General features: G+C 40.7%; 1 protein-coding gene and 1 pseudogene across 4 annotated transcripts in view, besides 1 other annotated feature; one reads left to right on the forward strand and one right to left on the reverse strand.

Annotated features, from left to right (window-relative positions):
* Positions 1-26,203, reverse strand: part of SH3D19 (SH3 domain containing 19) — a 205,325-nt gene that overhangs the window by 178,141 nt on the left and 981 nt on the right. The gene's annotated exons all lie outside the window — the stretch shown is intronic.
* On the forward strand, positions 2,097-2,192 carry RNU6-1282P (RNA, U6 small nuclear 1282, pseudogene; annotated as a pseudogene).
* Positions 16,548-17,747: an enhancer, noted in NCBI's record as "CDK7 strongly-dependent group 2 enhancer chr4:152236121-152237320 (GRCh37/hg19 assembly coordinates)". NCBI's record gives its function as "activates an origin of replication core promoter dependent on BRD2, BRD4, P300/CBP, MED14 and CDK7 cofactors, with strong dependence on CDK7, by STARR-seq in HCT116 cells {active_cell/tissue: HCT116}" and the evidence as "EXISTENCE:reporter gene assay evidence [ECO:0000049][PMID:35650434]".

Consider the following 26,203-nt stretch of genomic DNA (forward strand, 5'->3'; position numbering starts at 1 on the left):
CGCCTCGGCCTCCCAAAGTGCTGGAATTACAGGCGTGAGCCACCGCGCCCAGCCAAATTCACGTTGTTTTAAGCCATTAAATTTGTAGCTAATTTGTTATAACAGCAATAGGAAACTAAATGCAGACATTTTAGATTTGAGAGGCCTATTAGATGTCGAAGTAAAGATGCTGAATAGGCAGTCTAGAGTTCAGAAGAGAGGGCAGGACTAGAGAAATAAAAGCACAATCTGTTTGAATCATGGACCCTCTTCTCCACATCACCTTTAACACTGCATCCAAGAAAGCACTCATGCACATTTACAATATTTTTTATATAATTTCAAGATGTTCAAGAATTCCCTATATTCATAGAACTCCCAGAACATTATATATAATCACGAAGCAGCCTATTCTAACCCCAGTAAGATTGCTGCCTCCCTACGGAGGAAGAAACTGAATATCATTTCACTTCAAAAAACTTAAAAACCCCTTTTCCACTTCTACTTATCAAAACAAAAAACAAAATGTCACAGAAATACCTTACATAAAAAGTTCAAATCCCCCACATAATCGTAGTGTTCCTCACCATCACCCTCTAACCTTTCTTCTCATACTTAAGGATTTGGTCATGGTCAATATGCCACTGATTCCTTTTTAAATGTTTAAAATCTTGCTTGTTAAAATTAAGCTTGCTTTTTAAAATTAGTTTATGATAACAGAAAGCTATGGTTGCAACTACTGCAAAGCTTCAGAGTTCACAGGTTTGATTAATTTTATTAAAAATTCCATACTACTAGGTTAGATAAAAACAAAAAATAGCAATTGGTTGATCAAAGAAATCTGTATCAACACATTTTAAATAATGAAAACATTGTGGCCTTAAAAAATTAAAATCATGGCTGGGCGCAGTGGCTCACGCCTGTAATCCCAGCACTTTGGGAGGCCGAGGCGGGCGGATCACCTGAGGTCAGGAGTTCGAGACCAGCCTGACCAACATGGAGAAACCCCGTCTCCACTAAAAATACAAAATTAGCCTGGCGTGGTGGCGCATGCCTGTAATCCCAGCTACTGGGAAGGCTGAGACAGGAGAATCGCTTGAACCTCGGAGGCGGAGGTTGCGGTGAGCCGAGATTGCGCCACTGCACTCCAGCCTGGGCAACAAGAGCGAAACTCCGTCTCAAAAAAAAAAAAAAAAAAAAATTAAAATCACTGTAGCATCTTCAAAGCCAAGTTTGGATTTTAGGACAAATCTCCTATTCCCTTATGAGTTCAATGAAGTTATTTTAATTTCTGGAACAGAGGGCTAATATGAAAGACCTCAAGGAGACAGTACCATAAACAAGAAAAAAAATGCACTTGTGTCTCACATTCTTTTTATCCAGAGGCTGCTGAGTTAAGTGTCATACAAGGAAAAATACGCTAACCCATTTAAAGAGGTCCAATAAACAACTAGTTCCAAAATAGCCCTATTTTAAACTTCTAAAAACAGGTTGCAGCGAAAGAAATAAAACCAATGTCGGCCGGGTGTGGTGGCTCACGCCTGTAATCCTAGCACTTTGGGAGGCCAAGGCGGGCAGATCACCTGAGGTCGGGAGTTCGAGACCAGCCTGACCAACACGGAGAAACCCCATGTCTACTAAAAATACAAAATTAGCCAGGCGTGGTGGTGCATGCCTGTAATCCCAGCTACTCGGGAGGCTGAGGCAGGAGAATTGCTTGAACCCAGGAGGCGGAGGTTGCAGTGAGCCGACATCATGCTATTGCACTCCAGCCTGGGCAACAAGAGTGAAACTCTATCTCAAAAAAAAAAAATGTCAACCTAGCTTTCTTTACAGCCCTTCTGAGAAGGAACAACCTATTGAGCAGCAGGATGGGAGCATTGTGCATTGGACTATGCGTGATACTATACACATCAGCTTTGCACAATTTTTTTTAAATCAAGTGTTTGAGTCTCTACAAATGAAAAAAACATTTAGCAAATACTGAGTTCATAAAATATGCTCTAGGGAAAAAATTTCTAGAAGATTATATTTTTAAAGCCATGTAAGCTGAGTGTAAATGGACAGAACTAGGAATACTAAAAAAAAATAAAGGGAATAAAAGGTAGTATGGCCATGTGCTCACGTCAGCAACACGTATACTAAAATTGGAAAGATACCGAGATTAGCATGGCAAGGGTGACATGCAAATTCATCAAGCATTCCATTTTTTTTTTTTTAAGGTGTATGGCCATGTTAAGAAATTTGAGCTTTTAGGCGGAGGTATAATGTACAAACCACTGAAATGTTTTAATTCAGGGAAATAACATGATCAGTTTGTGTTTTATAAAAATTGCTTTGGTGGTTGTATAGAGAATGGATTAGAGAAACAAGTCAGGACACAGAATGGCCAGTTTGAAGTCTGTTGCAAACAGCCAGAGGTACCTGGAACAGGACAGTGGCAATGAAGATGGAGACAAGTAGACAGAATCAGGACCTACATCAGAGATAGATTTAATAGAATCTGGTAATTGACTGACTATATGTAGGCAATTGTGGTGAGGGAAGAAGTTAAGTACTTCACCCAGCTTTCTGGCTTGGGCAACTTGTGGTGTCTGTCATTCAATGAGATATAGAACCTTGGCACAGAAATAGTTTAGAGGTAAGAAATGTAAGTGATACGGTTTGGATCTGTGTCCCCACCCAAATCTCATGTCAAATTGTAATCCTCAAGCTGGAAATGGGGCCTGATGGGGGGTGATTGGATCATGGGAGTAGCTTCTCCATGGTTTAACACCATCCCCCATTGGGGCTGTTCTCACAACAGAGTTCTCGTGAGATCTGCTTGTTTTTATTTATTTATTTGAGACAGAGTTTTGCTCTTGTTGCCCAGGCTGGAGCGCAATGGCGCAATCTCGGCTCACCACAACCTCCACCTCCCAGGTTCAAGCAATTCTCCTGCCTCAGCCTCCTGAGTAGCTGGGATTACAGACATGTGCCACCACACCCAGCTAATTTTGTATTTTTAGTAGAGACAGGATTTCTCCATGTTGGTCAGGCTCATCACCAACTCCCAACCTCAGGTGATCCGCCCGCCTCAGCCTCCCAAAGTGCTGGGATTACAAGCGTGAGCCACCGCGCCTGGCCAGAGATCTGCTTGTTTTAAAGGTGTGTGGCACTCCCCGCTCTCTCTCTTCCTCTTGCTCTCGCCATGTGAAGATGTGCCTGCTTCCCAACTTCGCCTTCTGCCATGATTGAAACCTCCCTGAGGCCTCCCCAGCCATGCTTCCTGTACAGCCTGCAGAATCATGAACCAATTAAACCTCTTTTTAAAAGAAATTACCCAGTTTCAGTTATTTCTGTATAACAGGGTGAGAATGGACCAATACAATAAGTTAAAGATATCAAGACTCTACAAAAAGGAAACCCAAAGGCACATTACATTCTTACATTGAGCATTAAATAAGCAAACTGAGAGAACTACAATATATTCCAAAAGCTCCCTGGGCTAATTTCTAGTGACTATTATTTGCAAGGAGTTTATGAAGAATAACACACAAAGAGGTCCAAAACCAAGTTTTTTGCCATGAGTTTTGGTCTGCTCAAACTAGCAAGCCCTTAAGAAGGCTGTGGTAAATGACTTTGTTGTTCCCAATGATTCACTGCCCTCTGTGTAAAAAGATTATCCAGCCACTCAAGGTACCATGTAACTTGCAGGACCCCCACACCATTAATGTCAGGTTAACCAAAGAAGTGAGTAGAAGTGATACATGTCACTTCTGAGCATCGTTATAAACACTGGTACATGCTTTGCTATCTTTTTCCCAGATAGGGATTGCTCCTTCGGCCAGGATCCCAGAATGAGCACCACAGGTGAGGCTGAGCTACATCTCACCAGTTGAATATAACTGTTACACAATACTGAGCTCTAGAGGTTGTTTGTAATCACAGCATTAACAACAAAATATGACAGGTACTGGTGTCTAACAAATAAGAATGTATGACTTATTGGTGTTTCCCCTCTTCAAGTCAAATTTTTCTGGTGATTTGCTAAGAAGAAACCTGATGAAAAAAATAGTTGGCCCAAGTATTCCAAAACTAGAACAAAGAATTTTGAACCTGAAAAGAAACTTGGTAGGAGTTAGCAAACTTTTTCTGTAAAGAGTGAGATAGTAAGTATTTTAGGCTTGCAGACCACGTGGACTTTGTTGCAATGACTCAACTCTGCAGATGTAGGAAAAAACGACTATAGACAATGAAACTTTATTCACAAAAACAGTCAGTGAGCCTGGGCTCTGGGTCTAAATCTTTCATACTGTCAATGAAGAATCTGAGAGATTAAATCAAGGTCATATAGCGGGCTAGTGGGAGGCTGAGCATTAGAATGCATGTCTTCTGAAAACCAAATACCGCATGTTCATAGGTGGGAACTGAACAATGAGAACACTTGGACACAGGGTGGGGAACATCACACACCGGGGCCTGTCGTGGGGTGGGGGAAGGGGGGAGGGATAGCATTAGGAGATATACCTAATGTAAATGACGAGTTAATGGGTGCAGCCACCAACATGGCACATGTATACATATATAACAAACCTGCATGTTGTGCACATGTACCCCAGAACTTAAAGTATAAGAAGAAAAAAGAAAAAAAGAATGCATGTCTTCTGAATCTAGTCCTCTAGAACAGGTTCTGTTGGGTCACAAGATGGAGATGAAATACACACAATAAATAAAGCAGGGAATGCTAAAGATAGGTTTTGATTATGTTAAACAGCTTTCAACAGTTTGGTTATAAATGAGGATTTGCTTTTCGAGTGATTATAGCTTTCACGAAAAGAAGTAAATGTCATGAGACCAAACAGGTAAACAAATGATAAATTAGCCAGTGTTTTGAAAAATGATCTTCAGAGGAAACACAATTATACACTCCTTCCAACCACCATTTTCTTGAATAGATTATCAATCATTTCTTTTATTAACAGGATGGCATTTGCTATGATTATTACAGTAATTCATTTTAGGGAAAAATAGGTTTTTAAAAATACCATAATATGAGCAAGAAATATACTGGACCAGCAGCCAATTATTTCTCACAGTATTTTAAATTTATTTTTCTTTAATTTTGAAAGTAATAAACATTCATTGTAAGTAACTGAAACAATACAGAAGTATAAAGTGACACACTCCAGGCCCTCCTCGATTCCACTCCCCAGAGTATTAGCCATACATTATGTTTTAACATGACTGATTTGTTCAGAACGGTGCAGTAAAGCTACTTCCTCTGAGCTACTTTAACAACAAAGAGGAATATAGAGTTCCCCTGGCCAGATATCCCTTGGATATCATGTTTTGAAAAGTAACAAAGGGGTTTGGGGTGGTATATGGCCTAGAAATGAGAAAAGTAAGCTGCCCATTCAAGGTCTGAATGAGGGGTTTGAGCCCAGCACTGTAACCAGCTGAGTGAGGCTCCTCTTTATAAAAACACCTTGATAATGCTACTGTAGAATGTAGAAAAACTTAAAAATGGGTTAAGAGTATCCCTACCTTCTCTTGCTCTCTCATTTTTTTTTTTAAACTTGGGCTGGTTTACTCATAAAAGCAGATTTTTTTTTTTTTAAGAGATAGGGTCCTCACTCTGTTGCCCAGGCTGGATTCAAACTCGTAGGCTCAAGCAATCTTCCCACTTAAGTATCCTGAGTAGCTGGGACTAGAGGCACATACTACCCAACCCAGCTCTGATTATCTTAATCAGTTTTTTTCTTTAAGCCATATTTGACATATCTGAGTGACATCAGAAAAAATGGCAGAGTTAAGACCTCCAAAAGTCTATCCCTCCATAAAAGCAATAAAAACCTGATAGAAACTGGCAGAATCAACTTTTCAGAACTCTAGAAACCAACCAAAAGCTTGTAGCAACTAATGAAACACTGAATCCAGAAAAACTAGCTGGATTGTGGTTAGAATATTGAGCTTTGTGGCATTTTTAACTTACCCTGGTCCCTTCCCTCTTCCCAGCTCAGTGGGAACCTTAAAAATGTTAGCCTGCATTCCTGGTACCAATATCAGGACTAGAGAGAACAAAACCAACCTTATTCACAAAGAACTGTAATAATTTGTCTTGACCTGTCTGGTTTCTCCCTGGAGAAGACTTTCTTTTACCTTACCTAATTTGGAATTATCAGTGCAAAAGTGGCTAGCTAGAGGGCACTTGCTGAAAACACTGACAAGCAAATATATTAGTTGCTGCTGCACAAGGATAACAGTTGGGGCAAACAATAAGCTAACCAAAAAGGTTGGGAAGATAGGCTAGAGAATGAGATGGTTTGAGGAATACAGGCTTTGAATAGCTCCCACATATTCCTGGGAATCTAGAAGGCCAACTGTATTACCAGGATGGGCATATGCTCAGAAAAGACCTGAGAAGGCCCTAAGCTGCCACCTCTGGCTGACTGTCAGAATATGCACAAAGAAGTAAAGGCAAAGCAGACTTGTAAACTGCCTGTCTGAGTACTGAAGGTGTGTCAAAACACAAGAGCCCATCTGCATAAGCTGGGAGGTTCTTTTTGGTTCTAGGCATAAAACAAAACAAAACAAAACAAAACAAAAACCTCTGTCCAATCACTAGCTGACCACTAAGCTAATGAAACTGAAAATTCAGTGTCATGCATGACAAAGAATATAGGATTTACAAAATTAGTTCAGAGAAGTCACTAAACAAACAACCACAACCATAACAAGCAGCAATAACAAACCCTGGGAAGGGAGAAGAATCTGATTTCCAGAGCTGTTACATTATAATATTCAAAATGTTCAGTTTTCAACTTGTAAATACAAGGTATGCAAAGAAATAAGAAATATGGCCCATACACAGAAAAAAAAGTAATCAATACAAACTGTTCTTTCTGAGGAAGCCCAGATGCTGGATTTACTAGACAAAGACTTTATACTTCTGTATTATTGTTTGGGGAGCTCTTTATGTATTCTACATTCAAATCTTTTGTTGGATATATGATTTGAAAATATTTTCTCCTAGTCTGTAGCTTATCTTTTTATTCTATTTAACAGTGTCTTTAGCTCTTTGAACATATTTAAACAACCCAATTTTTAAATGTGCAAAGATTTGAACATTCTTCCCCAAAGATGACATATGGATAGCAATTAACCATATGAACAGATGGTCAATATCATTAGCCAAAAGGAAAATGTAAATTAAAATTACAATGAAATATCACTACACCTCTATTAAAATGGCTAAAAACAAACAAATAAAAACTAGAAAAAATCTAGCAGCATCAAGTGCTGGTGAGAATGCAGAACAATGAGAACTCTCATACATTGCTGGTGATAACACATAACAGGATAGCCACTCTGGAAAACAGTTTGGAAATTTATTATAAAGTTAAATTTATATTTACCATATGATCCAGCAAACCTGTACACAAATGTTTACAGCAGCTTATTCATAATCATCAAATACTGAAAACAATCTAAATATCCTTCATCAGGATATTGTGTACCAGCATAAACAAACTGGTACACTCACACAATAGACTACTACTTGGCAGTAAAACAGATCAAACTATTGATATAGTAACAAAATGAATCAATGTCCAAGGCATTCTCCTGAGTAAAAGAAGCCCGTCTCAGAGGTTATATATTAATACTTTATGAATTCATTTATTTAATATTCTAGGAAAGGCAAAATTATACAGACAGGGAGCAGATCATTGGTTGCCAGTGGAAAGGCGTGCACAGGTCTGACTACAAAGTCAGCCCAGGGAATTTCCAGGTGATGGAACTGTTCTGTATGGTGACTATGGTAGTTGCCACAAGAAACTACATGTGTAATAAAATTCATAGAACTGTTCACCAAAAAGAAGCCAATTTTACTGTATGTACATTTAAAAATTAAAGAAGAAAAGACTACAGGGATTCAAATCTCAGCTGCACTTAACTTCTGTTTACGTCATTTTTCTTATTTTAATAACAGGATGACAAAAGAACCTGCCTTCCAGGATTGTTAGGAGAATTACAGGAGTTCCTGACACATATTTAGTATAAATAAATGATTGATGAATATTTTATTCAGATATGCTAAAAAGTTGGTACTTTTTAAAAAAGTCTACTACAGGAATAAGTAAGAAAGCTGGAGACTCAACTAAAACAGGGGAAAAAAGAATATTGGAATTAAAACCCCAATTCTTCATTAACTTCATTAAACATTCATTGGAAACCTATGAGGTGAGCAATACCAAATTACATTCTACAAGGTTTGCAAAACCCATGTGCTCAAGGAGCTATTGAAAGGTTTGTTCTAAATGCTATGTAAGTACTCATCATTAAATTTAACACTAATAGCAAACGCGCTGTAATTAAGGTTTAATACTAAATGTTCAGTGTCACTGTCCCTTTCCTGAAGAGGCTGTCAAATGGTAACCACCTTTTTCCAACTCATGAAACGTCAGCAACACTGGACTTGTCCCTCATGTTCAGGCTCTGCATCCCATGTCACTAACTCAGTAGATTCCTTCTCAAATATCTTTATCATCCACTCTCCCGCATCATTCCTTACAATTTTCAGGGTTTGGGGTTTTAAAAAGCAGCAGCTGCTGCAATCACTCCTAATGATGACTTCTTTTTTTTTTTTTTTTTTTGAGACGGAGTCTCGCTCTGTCGCCCAGGCTGGAGTGCAGTGGCGGGATCTCGGCTCACTGCAAGCTCCGCCTCCCAGGTTCACGCCATTCTCCTGCCTCAGCCTCCCAAGTAGCTGGGACTACAGGCGCCCGCCACTACGCCCGGCTAATTTTTTTTTTTTATTTTTAGTAGAGACGGGGTTTCACCGTTTTAGCCGGGATGGTCTCGATCTCCTGACCTCGTGATCCGCCCGCCTCGGCCTCCCAAAGTGCTGGGATTACAGGCGTGAGCCACTGCGCCCGGCCCCTAATGATGACTTCTATCTTTTTAGTGTCTCCCTTCTTACCTGAACAACATGAGCCTTCTTTGGCCAAATATCCAAATCTACATTTAAGCTTCAAAAGCCAAATTAATCAGGACCCAAGGTGGCGCAGCCCTCGTGAGCCCAAAAAGCCACTCGCGTCTGGGCGCCAACCCTTAGGCTCTGCCTTCCCAGAGTTCCTGGTGCTAGACCCGTCAGGCAGGTGTGTGCCCGCAGGGCCTGACAAAGGGCATCACGTTCAGGAGTTTGAGGCCTTGCGAGGCCCCTTTGCTGTCTCTGAGGATAGTTGGGAAGGCCTTTGGGCCTGGATTTGACATCCATGAACTGTGCAGCAGCTCAAAGCCTGGGTCAGTTGTATTGACACCAAACGGCAAACATCTAAAGCGCTCAGGACTAACAAAGAAACAGGAAAACGTGAAGTTTTGCATATTAGCATGCGTGGTTTCCCCTCCACAGGGTGAGCCATGAGCAGAAGAGGGATTTGCCTTCCAACCTTGTGTACATAAGAGTTCCAGTTAGAATGAAATGTAATCGAACTAAAAATAAAGACTACGTTAAACCATCTTTATTTATTTTATTATTATTTTTTCAGACAGTGTTTTGCTGTTACTGCCCAGGCTGGAGTGCAATGGTGCGATCTCACTGCAACCTCCACCTCCCGGGTTCAAGTGATTTTCCTGCCTCAGCCTCCCGAATAGCTGGGATTACAGGCACGGGCCACCACACCCAGCTAATTTTTGTATTTTTAGTAGAGATGGGGTTTCACCATGTTGGCCAGGCTGGTCTTGAACTCCTGACCTCAAGTGATCCACCCACCTCGGCCTCCCAAAGTGCTGGGATTACAAGCATGAGCCACCATGCCCAGCCTAAAACATCTTTTAAAAAACTCAAGACTGTCCTATTTGACAGCTATGTACTGAGCACATGTGTCAAGCACTGTTCTGAGTTATGAGGGATATGAACAAAGTAAGCCTCTTCCCTCAGGAATCTCACATTGCTGAAAGTCAGAGTGGTCAGTTTATTCCTGGAGCCTACCAACTTTACCCTCTTTCCATTCTGAGAAACCTTAAGGTACCCCCCACAGGCCCTAGGTCCCATCAGACAAAAGCAATTGCAGGCATTTCTAGGTGAGCCATGTGGGTACCACAAGACTCTGCCATCTTGCCCCAAAGGGACCTGGGATGGGTTTGAAAAGGCAGCTCTCTATGGGTTTGCCATACACCTCCAAGGTAAATGGGCATAAGAACCCTGCTGCAAAAGGCCATCCTGTGCAGAATTGTGGCTGACCAACCTACTTAGAGCCTCTTTCTTGGGGAGGCTGACTGTGAGAAAAACAAAAGACAGCCAATTATTTAGTACCTTAGAAGCCATGGAAGCAGACATCAATAAACTGTAGTGTCACTAACCATAAGGAGCAACAAAGTCATTCCAACTTATTAAAAAATGTTCTCCAGAGTAGCTATTTGCTATCAGTTTTTTAGAGTTACTCTCATTTTCAAATACCTTCTGAAACTGCTTCCTGCGTCTTTCTTTTTTCTTTTATTTTTTTAGACGTCTTGCTCTGTCACCCACCGGGACTAGAGTGCGGTGGCGCAATCTTGGCTTACTGCAGCCCCCACCTCCTGGGTTCAACAATTCTCATGCTCCACCCTCCCGAGTAGCTGGGATTACAGGTGCACACCACCATGCCCAACTAATTTTTGTATTTTTAGTAGAGATGGGGTTTCGCCATGTTGGCCAGGCTCGTCTTGAACTCCTGACCTCAAGTGATTCACCCGCCTTGGTGTCCCAAAGTACTGGGATAACAGGCGTGAGCCACCGGGCCCAGAGATATTTTCCATGTCTTTCAACTTACATGTATATCCTTCCAATAAGCCTCCATCAGCTAAGGTGAGCATGCCCATTTCTTGCAAGCTGAAAGAACATAATGAACACATACAGTGCTTTCCAGTTACTTCAATGATAACTCACCACACTGTTCTTTATGTGGAGCCTACTTAGACTATAAAACGATACAGGAGTTGACTAAAATCCATGTATAAAATTCATGGCGGGACTAAAAAGTTTCTGCAAAGCAAAGGAAAAAATAAAAGGAAACCCATGGAACAGGAAAAAATATTTGCAAACCATATATCTGATAAGGGGTTAATATCCAAAATATATTAGGAACTCGTATTAATAGCAAAAGAAACCCCAGATTTTAAAATGGGCAAAAGATGAATAGATGTTTTTTCAAAGAAGGTATACAAACACCCAATGGGTACACGAAAAGGTACTCATTACTAACCATCAGGGAAATGTAAATCAAAACCACAATTAGATACCATCTCACATCTGCTAGGATGGGTATTATCAAAAAGTCAGCCAGAGGCTGGGCATGACAGCTCACTCCTGTAATCCCAGCACTTTGGGAGGCCAAGGCAGGAGGATCACTTGAGTCCAGAAGTTCTAGGCCAGCCTGGGCAACACATTGAGACCCAGTCTCTACAAAAAATTTAAAAATTGGCTGGGTATGGTGGCACATACTTGTAGTCCCAGCTACCTGGAAGGCTGAGGTGGGAGGATTTCTTGAGCCCGGGAGGTCAAGGCTATAGTGAGCAGAGATGACACCGCTGCCCTCCAGCCTGGGTGACATAGCAAGACCCTGTCTCAAAAAGAAAGTCAGCTGAGCATGGTGGCTCATGCCTGTAATCCCAGCACTTTGGGAGGCTGAGGCAGGAGGATAACTAAGACCCTGTCTCAAAAAGAAAGTCAGTTGAGCATGGTGGCTCACGCCTGTAATCCCAGCACTTTGGGAGCCTGAGGCAGGAGGATAACTTGAGGCCAGGAGTTTGAGACCAGCCTGGTTAACACAGCGAAACTCTGTCTTTACAAAAAAAAAAAAAAAAAAAAATTACTGGTGGTGCACACCTGTAGTCCCAGCTACTCGGGAGGCTGAAGCAAGAGGATTGCTTGAGCCTAGTGGTTTAAGGCTGCAGTGAGCTATGATCACACCACCACACTCCAGCCTGGACAACACAGCAAGACCCTGTTGCACCAAACAAAGAAAAAAAAATCAAAAGATATGTGTTGGCAAGGATGTGAAGAAAAGGAAACTCTTGTATGTTGTTGATCGGTGCACTGGTATAGCCATTATGGAAAACAGTACAGAGGTTCCTCAAAAAAATTAAAAATAGAACTACCATTCAGCCATGCCACTTCTGGGTATATATCCAAAGGAAATAAATCACTCTCTCTCTCTCTTTTTTTTTTTTTTAGACTCTTGCTCTGTTGCCCAGGCTGGAGTGCAGTGGTAGGATCTCGGCTCACTGCAACCTCCACCTCCCGGGTTCAAGTGATTCTCATGCCTTGGCCTGCTGAGTAGCTGGGACTACAGGTGCACACCACAACACCTGGCTAATTTTTGTATTTTTAGTAGAGACGGGGTTTCACCATGTTGACCAGGCTGGTCTCGAACTCCTGACCTTAAGCGATCCACCCACCTCGGCCTCCCAAAAGTGCTGGGATTACAGGTATGATTCACCATGCCTGGCCAATAAATCCCTATCTCAAAGAGATATCTGCACTCCCATGTTCACTGCAGCATTATTCACAATAGCCAAGATACATAAACAACCTAAGTCTGATGACGAATGAACGGATAAACAAAATGTGGTGTGTGTGTATACATATTATATATGTATACACTTAGGTTGCTTATGTATCTTGGCTATTGTGAATAATGCTGCAGTGAACATGGGAGTGCAGATATCTCTTTGAGATAGGGAGATATATATGTATGTATACATATATACATGTATATATGTATACACACACAGTGGAATTTTATTCAGCCTTTAAAAAGAAGGAAATCCAGCCTGGGCAACACAGTGAGACTGCATCTCTACAAAAAATTATTATAATAATAATTAGCTTGGCATGGTGGTGAGCACCTGTAGTCCCAGCTTCTTGAGATGCTGAGAAAGTAGGATCACTTGAGCCCAGGAGGTCAAGGATGCAGTGAGCCATGATCATGCCACTGCACTCCAGCCTGGGTGACACAGCAAGACCCTGTTTAGAGAAAAAAAAGAAGGAGGAAATCCTGCCACTTGCGACCACATGGATGAACCTGGAGGACATTATGCTAAGTGAAATAAGCCAGACACAGAAAGACTAATACTGTGTGATCTCACTTGTATGTGGAATCTAAAAAAGTCAAACTCATGGAAGCAGAGAATAGGCTGGGCATAGTGCCTCACGCCTGTAATCTCAGCACTTTGGGAGGCCAAAGTGGGAGGATCACTTGGGACCAGGAATTTGAGGCCAGCCTGGGCAAAAGAGCAAGACCCTATCTCTACAAAAAATTTTTTAAAAGAAAAAATTAGCAGGGCATGTCCCTGCAGTCTCAGCTACTCAGGAGGCTGAGGTGGGAAGACCATTTGAGCCCGGGAGGTCAAGGCTTCAGTGAGCCGTGATTGCACCACTGCATTATGGCCTGGGCAACAGAGTGAGACCCTGTCTCAAAAATAAAAGAACCAGAGAGCAGAAGGGTGGTTACCAGGAGTTGTGAGGGTAGGGGAAATGGGGAGGTATTATTCAAAGGTCTAAACTTTTAGTCATAAGATGAATAAGTTCTGGAGACCAAGTATATCGCATGGTGACTATAATTAATAATAATGTATTATATTTGAAATTTGCTGAGAGAACTTAAGTATTCTCACTATAAGAAACAAAAAAAAAGGTAGCTATGTGAGGTGATGGATCCTTTAATTAGCTTGATTGTGGTAATTATTTCACAATGTATACATATATAAAAACATCATGTTGTACATCTTGAATATATTCAATTTTCATTAGTGAATTATACCTCCACAAAGCTGAAAAAGGGGGAAAAAAGAAAAATGCATGATGGATTCTGTTTATTCTGTTTGAATAAAAGTTATCACAACATGAATTACTTAAGATGGAAAAACATAACAGTTCAAATTATAAGAAATCACACTGAAACCAATCAACATCATATTTTTAAATAGGATACTAAGGCAGTGATTCTCACCTTACATACAACTTTAAAAATCCAGTTCCTCAGCAACTATTCCGGAAGTAATGAATCTGGAAATCTGAGGGTGGGGTCATGAGCACATGTTTTCTTTAAAGTTTCAAAGTTGATTCTGATGTCCTGCCAAGAGTTGAGAAGCCTGGCCCTACAGTAGAGATAACTGAGGGCCTTGTTGCTCAAAATGTGGCCCAGGGACCACCAGCAGTGGCATCACCAGGACCTTGTTAGAAATGCAGAGTCGGCCAGGCATGGTGGCTCACACCTGTAATCACGGCACTTTGGGAGGCCCAGGTAGGCAGATCACATCAGGTCAGGAGTTTGAGATCAGCCTGGCCAACATGGAAGAACCCCGTCTCTACTAAAAATACAAAAATATTAGCTGGGCCTGGTGGTGGGCACCTGTAGTCCCAGCTACTGGGGAGGCTGAGGCAGGAGAATGGTGTGAACCCGGGAGGCGAAGGTTGCAGTGAGCCAAGATTGCACCACTGCACTCCAGCCTGGGTGACAGAGCAAGACTCCATCTCAAAAAAAAAAAAAATAAATAAAATAAATAAATAAATAAATTAGCCGGGTGTGGTGGTGAGTGCCTGTAATCCCAGCTACTTGGGAGGCTGAGGTATGGGAATCACTTGACCCTGGGAGGGGGAGGTTGCACTGAGCCGGGATCATGTCACTGTACTCCAGCCTGGGCAATGAGCGAGACTCTGTCTCAAAAAAAAAAAAAAAAATGCAGAGTTGCAGCTCTACCCAAAACCTACTACATCATATCTGCATTTGAACAAGATCTCCAGGTGATCTGTAGGCAGAACAAAGTCTGAGAAGCACTCTTTAGAGTTCCCATTGCTACAGAGGTGTAAGAAATACCAAACCACGTTATAAAGTTGAATACCTCATGAAACTTTCCATGAAGGAGAAATACGAAAGGAACAAGGTGAGAGATAAAAAGTTACTTGTGATATAAAGGAATGTCACATTATTAAGCATCTAATTAAGAGTAATATTCAAATAGAAGTCTGCATATTTTATGTATTTATTTATTTATTTATTTATTTATTTTAGAGATAAGGTCTCACTCTGTCACCCAGGCTGGAGTGCAGTGGTGCAATCATGACTCACTGCAGCCTCAAACACCTGGGCTCAAGCGATCCTCCTCCCTCACTCTCCTGAGTAGCTGGGACTACAGGCACACACCACTGCGCCCACCTAACGTATTTTATTTTTTATAAAGTCGGGGTCTTGCTTTGTTGCCCAGGCTGTGCACATTTTAAAACCTACAATAACATTCCTTATTCCAAATGAATCCCACTTCCAGACGCACCCTCCACTGGCAATAGTTACACTTTCACTGAGAGTAACCAATCTACCTTGTAATCTCCAGGTAGCTCCAGTAGTCTCCACTGAGCTAGCCTATATGTTGAGGGGAATCTTTGTGAAGGAATGAAGAAACAAAGGGTGTGGTAGCAAGATAAGACAGGATCATTTACATGGGTGATATGCTGGGGGCCTTCGAGTGTTATGTGAACACCTCTACACTAGTTTCAAAGGACTATTTGGAAATAGTGACATTTATTGCCAGAAAAACTAATTCTCCACATCTTGTACAAACATTTTCTTCTGAGCCCTTTGTTCTTGGCCAGCTCTCAGAGAAAAAGCAGTTAACTATCATCCAGTATAATGATTCCTTGATTAACGTATCTTCTGGAAACAAAGCTCCAGTATAATGAAGGCAGCCATATTGAAAACAAATGAACTCTCAGTCCCATGCAGCAGCCCTGGCATGCATTCTAGGGCTCATCAGCAATGCAATTGTTAATCTACTCAAATGCATCAGAGCAGGGACAACATCACCTCCCTTCACAGCTTCTATTTATTTATTCTGAATGAAGTTGGCACTAGGCAAAATAACAAAACCAGAAAACTATATTCAGATTCTAAAGGCTTCCATTTTGGTACCCTTCCACTTGCCCAAGGATGGCCACAACCACTTCAAAAACTACACATCACACATGAACACTTGAAGTTTACAAGCATGTTCCCCATAATGAGCCTGCAGAGTAGTTAGGGCATGAATAATTCCTATTCCAAAGATGTAAAAAAACGGTGGAGTGGGGGCCTCATAAAACCTAACTAACATGTCCAAGGTCACACTACAGTAAAGTACAAAATAGCAACAAGAATCTAGGTATCTTATAACAAAATGTATTACAGCTTGGTGGTAAGAGGAAGGAAACAATAAGATCAAGTTAGAATCTATCAGTTAGGAACTGCCTTCAGCTGCCAGCTGAGGCCTATGATAACAGTGGCTTAAACAAGGTAGAGTTTCTTATTCCTTCCTTCTAAGTAAAGGAGGAGGCAGGCAATCAAAACCCATGTGGTGACTCTATCTAATCAGCAGGGACTGCAGGGCCATCTATTTTTCTGCTCCACTATTCTCAGTGCTTCGGTTCCAACCTCAAAGTAACCTCATGGCCCAGGGTGGCTACTGTGAGCTACACAGCCTTGTTCCTGGCAGGAGGTGGGAGGAAGATGGTAAGGGGAAAAGGGTATTCTGTGCAGTTGAGTGAACCCCCTTTAAAGAACTTTCCTGGCAACCCCATTCAACAACTTTTACTTGTATCTCATTAACAGGCTGGAAGAAGTAGCTTCATAGGTGGGTACATTGCCACATCCAGAAATACAGGGATTCCATTCACCAAAAAAGGAGGAAATGAGGAAAAAAGGAGGCAACCAGGAGTCCATGCTACAGAATCCTATTCTGTCACTCCCTTGCTGTGTGACCTTGAGGAGATTATTCACCCTTTCTAGGCCTCAGGTTCCTCATCTGTTAAATGAAGGAAACAATCACACCTACTGCATAGGATTGGTACCAGGACTAAATGAGAAAAACACACTGAAAACAACTGGAATTGTCTCGGCACCCAGTGCACAATAAATATTAACTTGTTATTTGATTATCTTAGCCCAGTGCTTTCCAAATTCCTTTCCTACTCTAACTTCCCCTCCATTTCCAAAATTGGAAAGGAATTTATATTAGTCATTTGTACCTGCTGACAGAGGACTCTAGTGTAAATGAGTCTTAGTCATAGGTCACCTCAATCAGACAAATGTATTTCATGCCTTTCCTTTCTAATTATACAATGAAATTATCTCCCAGACATCCATACAGATCAGATATTTTGGACAGAATTAGGATGGAGAAATTGAGCTTACATTCTCCAACAGGTGGGGCCTAGAGACAATCCTAATCAGATCTTTGGAGAGACCAAACAAACTAAGGGAGTATTAAAGAATTTAGGCTGGTGCAGTGGTGTGTGGCTGCAATCCCATCTACTTGGGAGGCAGAGGCAAGAAGATCCCTCGAGCCCAGGAGTCTGAGTACAGCCTGAACAACACAGCAAGACCCCATTTCTACAAAAAAAAAGGTCTCTTTCATGCAAAATAATTTCTAAAAAAGTATGTAGATACTTTACCCTTAAAGAGGTATAGCATAATTCTTTACTCCTTAAGTGTAGCATAACTCTTACTTCATAGTGACTTCCTTCACTTTCTACAGTATGGAAAGAGAGGAAAAAGGCTTAACTTTTTAAAAAAATTTCTTTTGAAGGACTACTGCAATGGGGTCTTGCAGTTGGGGAGGGAGAGTGGACGCCAATGCCAAAAAGAGTAACTTTCAAGCAGAGAAACTTCACAAGCACTACCTCTGCCAGGTAATCAAGGTCAGTAGAAAAGTCATGATAATAATATATACCCTTGAATTGTGATAAAAATGGCACTTTACCTCTGTGATCTTCCTCTCAAACACCCGTAAGCCAGTTTGATCATGAGAAAAACATCAGACAAATCTCAACAGGGGAACAACATACAAAAATGTGACCAGTACTCTTCAAAACCGTCAGGGTCATCAAAAACAAGGAAAATCTAAGAAACTGTCATAGCCAAGGGGAGCCTCAGGAGATATGACAACTAAATGTAATACAGTCTCCTATACGGAATACTGCAACACAAAAAAGGACACTAAGCAAAAACTAAGGAAATCTGAATCAAGCATGGAGTTTAATCATACATCAATATTAGTTCATTAATTGTGATGAATCTACCATACTAAGATGCTAATAATCAGGGTGTGGGGTATATGGGAGCTCTTTGTACTATCTTCACAATTTTTCTGTTACTCAAAAAATATTCTAAAAAACATTTAATTTTTTTATTTTTTTCTTAATTCATTTTTTTTCCCTTGGTATAACTTGGAACAAATTTTTTTTCCCTTGGTATAACTTGGAACAAATTTTATTTTTAAAAAGAAAAAAAAGGAAAATAATGGTCCACAGCTCCTACCCTCACCCCCATGAGCCCATCCCCACCACAAGGACAAGCTTACAGTTCCTGAAGGTGAGGCCAACAGCTGCTGAGGAGCAAGGACTCGTTCCAGCTGCTTCTAAACAAGGGGGCCAGGCCTCTGCCAGAGCCTTCTCCTTCCTGCCCTGTGTCAAGCTATCCAAGCTTCCTCCTCAACCTTTACCCTGCCCTATGCCCTGAAACTACCTGACACGTATTTTCCTCTTGTACTTAATTGATAGTAGAATTTCCCTCATACATGTCAAGTACTATAAATTCCCCTAGAACACATCCCATGTCTTCCACTGATGAAGGGGAACACTGCCACATTATCAGTGAATGAAGCTGCTATCTTGAAAAGGGGTCGGCATGACAAGTTATGCTAGACAACTTATGCCAATGTAACTGCCCTCACCAGGGAGACACCGTCTTGAGCTTTGCCCCTTTGGCTTCTCCCACACCAGTGGAGCAGTTCACAAGGAGCCTGGGAGAAACTCTCCAAGATCTAACTTAGTACATGGGCAAACTGCTGTAAACTATGTCGGAAGTTATTTTTCTGCTCATCTCCTAATATCATAAAATGTAAAGTTGGAAGCCTCATCCTTTCAATTAATACACCAAAAGCTAAGGCCCAGAAAGATGCTATAAATTGCTGGATGCTACAAAGCTAATTGACAGATGGGATTAGAACCAAGTGTTCAAAGGATTAGTCTCTAAGCACCATTGGATGAAAAGCTGAAATGACCTAAGGGAAAACAGTGAATATGCTGTCCTCAGAATATAATATGCCAGTGAAGTTATAGAACTGCTGGATGACTAGTGTGAGAGAGGGAAAGAAAACAGAACGAAGGGATGCACTCTGGTTAAAAATAGGTCATAGGCTGATCAACTCACCTCTGATTTGCTGAGATCACTTTGAACATAATTGCTTATGTCACAATAATGAGCTTTCAGTGGACAATAAAGAAAAGCTGAACGTTGGCTGGGCACAGTGGCTCACACCTATAATCCCAGCACTATGGGAAGCCGAGGCAGGCACATCACCTGAGGTCAGGAGTTCGAGACCAGCCAGGCCAACTCTGCAAAACCCTGTCTCTACTAACAATACAAAAATCAGCCAACGTGGTCGCAGGCACCTGTAATCCCAGCTACTTGGGAGGATGAGACTACTTGGGAGGCTGACGCAGGAGAATCGCTTGAACCTGGGAGGTGGAGGTTGTAGTGAGCTGAGATTGTGCCACTGCACTCCAGCCTGGGCAACAGAGCGAGGCTGTTTCTTAAAAAAAAAAAGAAAATAAAAGATAGGCCGGGTGCAGTGGCTCATGCCTGTAATCCCAGCACTTTGGGAGGCTGAGGTGGGCAGGTCACGAGGTCAGGAGTTCAAGACCAACCTGGCCAATATGGTGAAACCCTGTCTCTAATAAAAATACAAAAAAAAAATTAGCCGGGCATGGTGGCACGTGCCTGTAGTCCTAGCTCCTTGGGAGGCCGAGGCAGGAGAATTGCTTGAACCTGGGAGGCAGAGGTTGCAGTGAGCCAAGATCGCGCCACTGCACTCCAGCCTAGGCGACAGAGTGAGACTCTGACTCAAAAAAAAAAAAAAAAAAAAAGAAAGAAAGAAAAAGAAAAGAAAAGCTGAGCATTATTACCAGGCCATGTTAAAGTAATTCATATGGCTTAAGAAATACCAAAGGAAGAACTAGCCTCAGTCTTTGGGAGTCCTCTAGAATTAAGATATTTCCAAGAGATACATGAATGCCAAAGAAAAGCAACTACATTTGATTATTAAATGATGACACTGCAGATTTACCTTCTTTTTCCTCTGACAACATGAATTCATAACTATTCCCAAGTGAAGAAAATGCAGACTCAACTGTGAAATATTTTATCAATAATAAGAAAAAGGAGACATAAAATAAGTGCTAATAATTTTATAGGTATTTACTATGGGCTTGGCCATGTTCTAAGGACATTATATACATTAACTCATTTAGTCTTCAAACCCAATGCAATAGGATTTACTATTATTCAAATTTAGAAATATAAATAAAGAATAGAAGCAGAGAGGTTACGTAACTTGTCCAAGGTCACACAGCCAGTGGTCAGCCAAAAAATGAACCAAGACAGTCTGATTCTCTCATGTCAAACTGATACCCACCATGGACTACTTTATATTCTTTATATTCTTAATTATCTTCTTTAAAGTGTAACAGTCTTACCTTCCCTAATTCTATGGCATAGTCTTTAAAAGCAGGGAGCCTATTTTATATATCTCTTTGTATTGCCAGTATTTTAGGCACCATTTTGCATACATTATATTGATGGGGATAACTAGACAGGTCTTTTATTTCTTTTTGAGACAGAGTTTCACTCTTGTTGTCCAGGCTGGAGTGCAGTGGTGTGATCTCAGTTCACTGCAACATCCACCTCCCTAGCAAGCGATTCTCCTGCCTCAGGCTCCCGAGTAGCTGGGATTACAGGTGCCCACCACCACATCTGGCTAATTTTTTGTATTTTTGGTAGATATGGGGTATCATCATGTTGGCCAGGCTGGTCTCGAACTCCTGACCTCAGGTAGTCCACCCGCATTGGCCTCCCAAAGTGCTGGGATTACAGGCGTAAGCCACTGTACCTGGCCCAGGTCTTCTTAAACAATGTGATGAGTACAGGATTTTTAAACAACATGTAAATCTACTCATAGTTTCCATGGAACTTAAAATAACTTTCTCAAAATAAATTAGACAACTTTGGAATTCTAATAACAAAAAACAGTAAGCTGGTGGTCCAGAGAACTAATGCAGTTTTCAAAACTATCTAACTTAGTAGACAAAGCCACAGACTCTGAGAGGATATGACCTGACATCTTATATGAATCAACTAAAAAAACCTCTACAACTTGCAACACACAATAGAGGTGACTGAGGTTCAGCTATACCTAGTTGTGTAATTTTAGATAAAACCTTCTAACATTTCTGAGTCTCAGTTTACTCATCTTTAAAATGGGAACAAAAAACTTACCCTCTTCCCTCTCAGTTTGTTGTAAGAATCCAAATGAATGCAGTTGTGAAAGCCCTTCATAAATAGAAAAGCACCACATAAATGTAAAGTACTTCTAGAATACAGCAAGCAGCATACAGGTATAAATGCGTGGAGCATCAATAGTAACTGACTTATATGAGCAGTCAGTGTGATCACCTGGAAAAACATGGACTTCCACTTCAAAAAAAACCTGCATTCAAATCACCATTCCAGTATTTACTAGCTGAGGGACTGTGGATAAGTTGCTTAAATGTTTGTGAGCCTCAGTCTTTTCAATGATAAAATGAAGAAAATAATACCTACCTCACAGGTGATAACATAAAGAAGCACCTGGTACACCGTGAACACAGTGAATGTTCTTCTGTGCCCTCATACTGATGATATTAAAGTTATTTTACTCAAAGCACAACAGACAACAGTTATATCAGTCCTTCCAGGGTTTACCATAAACACATCAAAATATAGAAAGAGTAAATTTAGTTAGCATTTAGTAAGCCCTATTATGTGCCTACTACTCTTCCAGATGTTGGGAGGAGGATCCAGAATCTTGTATATCCTCCCTTTGGAGAAATAATATTAAAATGTTGTATGTCAGGCAGAGATTCTCAAATCTGTTTGAGAATCTGATGAAAGCTATGGCATTTCTCCCCAAGGAAAGCTACAAAGCTTTTAGGGGACAATAAAGGAAATATAGGAGAATATTTTCATGACCTTGGATAGAAATCATGTTCTTAAAGGGGGTGAGGGGGGAAGAGACACAAATTATAAAGGAAAAGATTCATAAATTCATCTATACTGAAATGAAGAATTTCCACATCGAAAGAAACCATAGAGAAAATGAAAAAGTAAGCCAGAGTGGAGGTGGAAGAAGATATTTGTAACACACATAACCAACAAAAGTTGAGATTCCTGGGTAAACAAAGAACTCCAATAAATCAATAAAAAATAATAGGCAAAATGCTGTGGTATATATTTATACAATGAAAACAAACAAACAAAAAAAACAGAACCGGGCACAGTGGCTCACGCCTGTAATTCCAGCACTTTGGGAGGCCAAGGCAGGCGGGTCACCTGAGGTCAGGAGTTCAAGACCAGCCTGGGCAACATGGCAAAACCCCGCCTCTACTAAAAATACAAAAATTAGCTGGGCATGGTGGCATGCACCTGTAGTCCCATCTACTTGGGAGGCTGAGGCAGGAGAAATCACTTGAATCTGGGAGGCAGAGGTTGCAGTGTGCTGAGATTACACCACAGCACTCCAGCCTGGGCAACAGAGCAAGACTCTGTCTCAAAACAAACAAAAACCCACAGCTACATGTAACAATACAAATAAATCTTACAAACTTAATGTTGAGTGAAAAAAGCACCTGGACTAAAGCAGGGATGTTAGTATAAATAACATTATCAGTAGCCTTTATCCTCCCTTCTTCCCCCACCCAAGCTATCCTTCCTCTAGGGTGACTATCCTTGATTTGCCTGGGACTGAGGAGTTTCCATGAATGGGGGACTTTCAGTTTTAAAAGCTGGAAAAGTCCTGGGAAACTGGGAAGAGTTGGTCACCCAATCTCGTCCGCCTATTCCCCCCACCCTCCACTTCTTGCCCTTGGCTAGCACTAACTAACACTAACACAGTGGCACTAACACACCAATCTCAGTTGTGCAGATAGAGATGAAGAATATGCAATCAATAACAGAAAGAAAAAAACCAAGAAACAAAAATGAAGTTGATCATAAATGCCAGGCTGTATAAATCAACCATGAAATCCTTTAAGCTACCGAGAAAACCCACAATGGAAACTAAGTCCTATAAGTTAGCCTGTGGAAATCTCCATGTTTATCTCATGGGTTTTCATCTGATCTACTAAAAAGGACAAATTAGCCAAAGGAACTATTTCTTAGAATTTAACAATCTGTGTTGGGGTGTGATTTCTCTCTTAATTACATGGAGTTTGCAAAGTGCATCATCCTTTTGAACCAGCAACATAAATGTTATCTGGGAATGTGTCAAAAATGAAAATTATCAGGCCCTATCCCAGACCAAGTGATCAGATACTGAGCGTGTACAAGGCCTTCAGGCAATTCAGATACATGTGGCAAAAGTTTGAGAACCACTGGATTAGTGTACCCACATCCTCTCTTCCTTGTTTGTAATGGGCATTTGGTGGATTAGTGAGACACCCCCAAGAATTCAGGTGTTGTGTCTAGCTTTCATATTACCACTCTCTGTCAGGTCAGGCAATTAAGGATCTTGGATACCACCATCAACAGTAAATATTTCACATAGTGCCAGATTTACGACACCTTAGCCTCAGCACATGAAACCCAAACAATGGAATACTCTCTGCTCCCCATTTACTTTCCTATAACTGCTTATTAATCTCATGCATCATGAGCTACTACAGAATTAACCCTCACTGGCCAGGTGCAGTGGCTCACACCTGTAATTCCAGCACTTTGGGAGGCTGAGGTGGGAGGAGTTCGAGATCACCCTGGCCAACATGGTGAAACCCCGTCTCCACTAAAAATAGAAAAATTAGCCAGGCATGGTGGTGCACACTTGTAATCCCAGCCACTCTGTAGGCTGAGGCATGAGAATCACTTGAACCTGGGAGGTGAAGGTTGCAGTGAGCCATGACCACGCCACTAGACTCCAGCCTGGGCGACAGAGCAAGACTCTGCCTAAAAAAAAAAAAAAAAAAAAAAAACCTTTCCTGAATTGACCTCAGTACTTGATTGCCTATAATTCTGCCAAAAAAAAAAAAAAAATTCAACTGAGCTTTTTATTTATTTTAGAATCATGCTGAAGATATTTTATTACTTTAAAAGCTGGGAAACATAAATACATTTTATAAAGAAGTTGGGCACCAGATCAACTATCATCCTTTGTTGTAAAATAAAACTGTGATTAATCAAACCCAATTTTCTTAACATCATTTTAAAAACACACACACATTTATTTCCTAAGGATGCCCTACAAGGACTGTCCTGTGCTCAGAACCTGCCTGGGGCTCTTGGCCTTTGAATGAAAAGAACTCATTCCAGACATTTCATAATCTCAAGTCATTACTTGCTTTCTGCTGGGTTGATAAAATACAGGACAATTCCACTTAAATGATCTTAAAAAGGTAAAACTAAACAATATTTTATAGAGATGCATATGTGTATGGTAAAACTGTACAGAATGAAAAGGAAATAATAACCACAAAGGTTAAAAAAATGGTTACATCTAGGGGAGAGAGGAGGCTAAGTCTAGGAGGGATGGGAATCCATTTCTAAGGAACTGACTATATCCTATTTCTTGACTTGAGCATGAGTTACAAGAGTTTTTACTTTATAATTTACAAATTTCATATGTTCTTCTGTATGTAAGTTACAAAAATAAATAAATGCACTTACACAACCACTCCAAAATTTATCAGGGAGAGAAGGAAGAGTTCACAGACTACCTTAAGTCCATAAACCCCAGGTTTATGGTTATCAAGCTAGGTGAAATCAGAGAAAAGGAAACTCTTTAGATTGTAAAATGATAAGGGAAGGAGGGAGCACTGAGAACAGGAAAAGTGAAAAACTGAAAAGGTGATGCAGAAAAAACATGAAGCTTCTGCGTCAGTTCATACCCTCTCACTTGGAGGAGAGCAACATCTAGCACAGACATAACTAACAAATGCCCAAGCTTGGTAAGGAATGTGTTAGTGTCTGAAAAACATGTTAACTAATAAGGGGAAAGTGGAGCTCAGCTTGTAAAGAAATGTAAACTATTAAATAATTTCTTCTAAAAGAAATAAATCCAAAAATCGCAAGTTTAACCCTCTTACTCATTCCATTACATCGTCCTCACACCCTTTAATGGAAAAAGGGCATATAAATGGTTAGAAAACTACAAACACCAATTACTGAATGCAAAAAGTACACAATGTCATGTCTCAGCAAAATATTATCAAAGAACCTAGAAAAGCCTTTGTCAACCTTGAGAAATTAGGGAACTGGTGAAAACTAATTACAAAATGTCATTTCCACCAGCTTTGGAATAAATACACATATTGCAACTAAATGATAAACACACATCTGGATCACATCTAGTCTGAACTCCAAAACAGGTCTTCACTGTACAGTCTCTTGTGAGAATGAAGCTTTCTGCTGAAGGTAACAGGAATCTAAGGTGGCCTACCCTGTTTAAATCCATAGGTCAGGCATGGCGGTATATCTTTGTAAAGTTTTTTCATTGTACTCTTGCAAGAAATATTCACTTATATCCAGCAACTATTCATTATTTCACAAGGTTTGGGTTTACACTGAACAAAATTACCAATTATGTTCAAAACTGGTGTTCATATAGACAGCCAAATGCCTTATTTTGATGAAAAGTTGTAATAATGAGCATGGAGAATTATTTTTATGTTCCAAGATTCTACCAAAGGCATTAAATTGACTATTTCTTCAAGATGTTCTTCTCAAGTTTTCCTTTCATCCTACTTTCTACCCTCCATTTGTTCCGCACAGATACAATATCTTCTCTATTTTTCCAACTTTCTCTTAGTGGTTAAGGGAGTCACACAGAAAAGCTTCTCCACTTCATGGAATATTCGCTATATTCCACTTTATAATGAGGCTCTCAGTGAATCGTTCTCCTCCGACTCTCTCACTTCCCTATCTCCCTTTTGTTGCCAGTCCCCCTAGGTTTGTTCTTCCCTCTTGTTTTCAGATAACTCGGATTACCCAGTTGGAACCAAAGGCCAAAGAATGTCCTCTCTATTATGTTTGATTGAAAAGCCGCCCGGAAGAGGGAAGGGGTGTGGATCTACACTTATTCACTCTTTCACTAATGTGCCAAACTATTTGATCCGTGCCGCTTTTGTGTACCCAAAACACAGTAT

Source organism: Homo sapiens, chromosome 4 (genome assembly GCF_000001405.40).
Source record: "Homo sapiens chromosome 4, GRCh38.p14 Primary Assembly".
NCBI classification, from domain to species: Eukaryota; Metazoa; Chordata; class Mammalia; order Primates; family Hominidae; genus Homo; species Homo sapiens.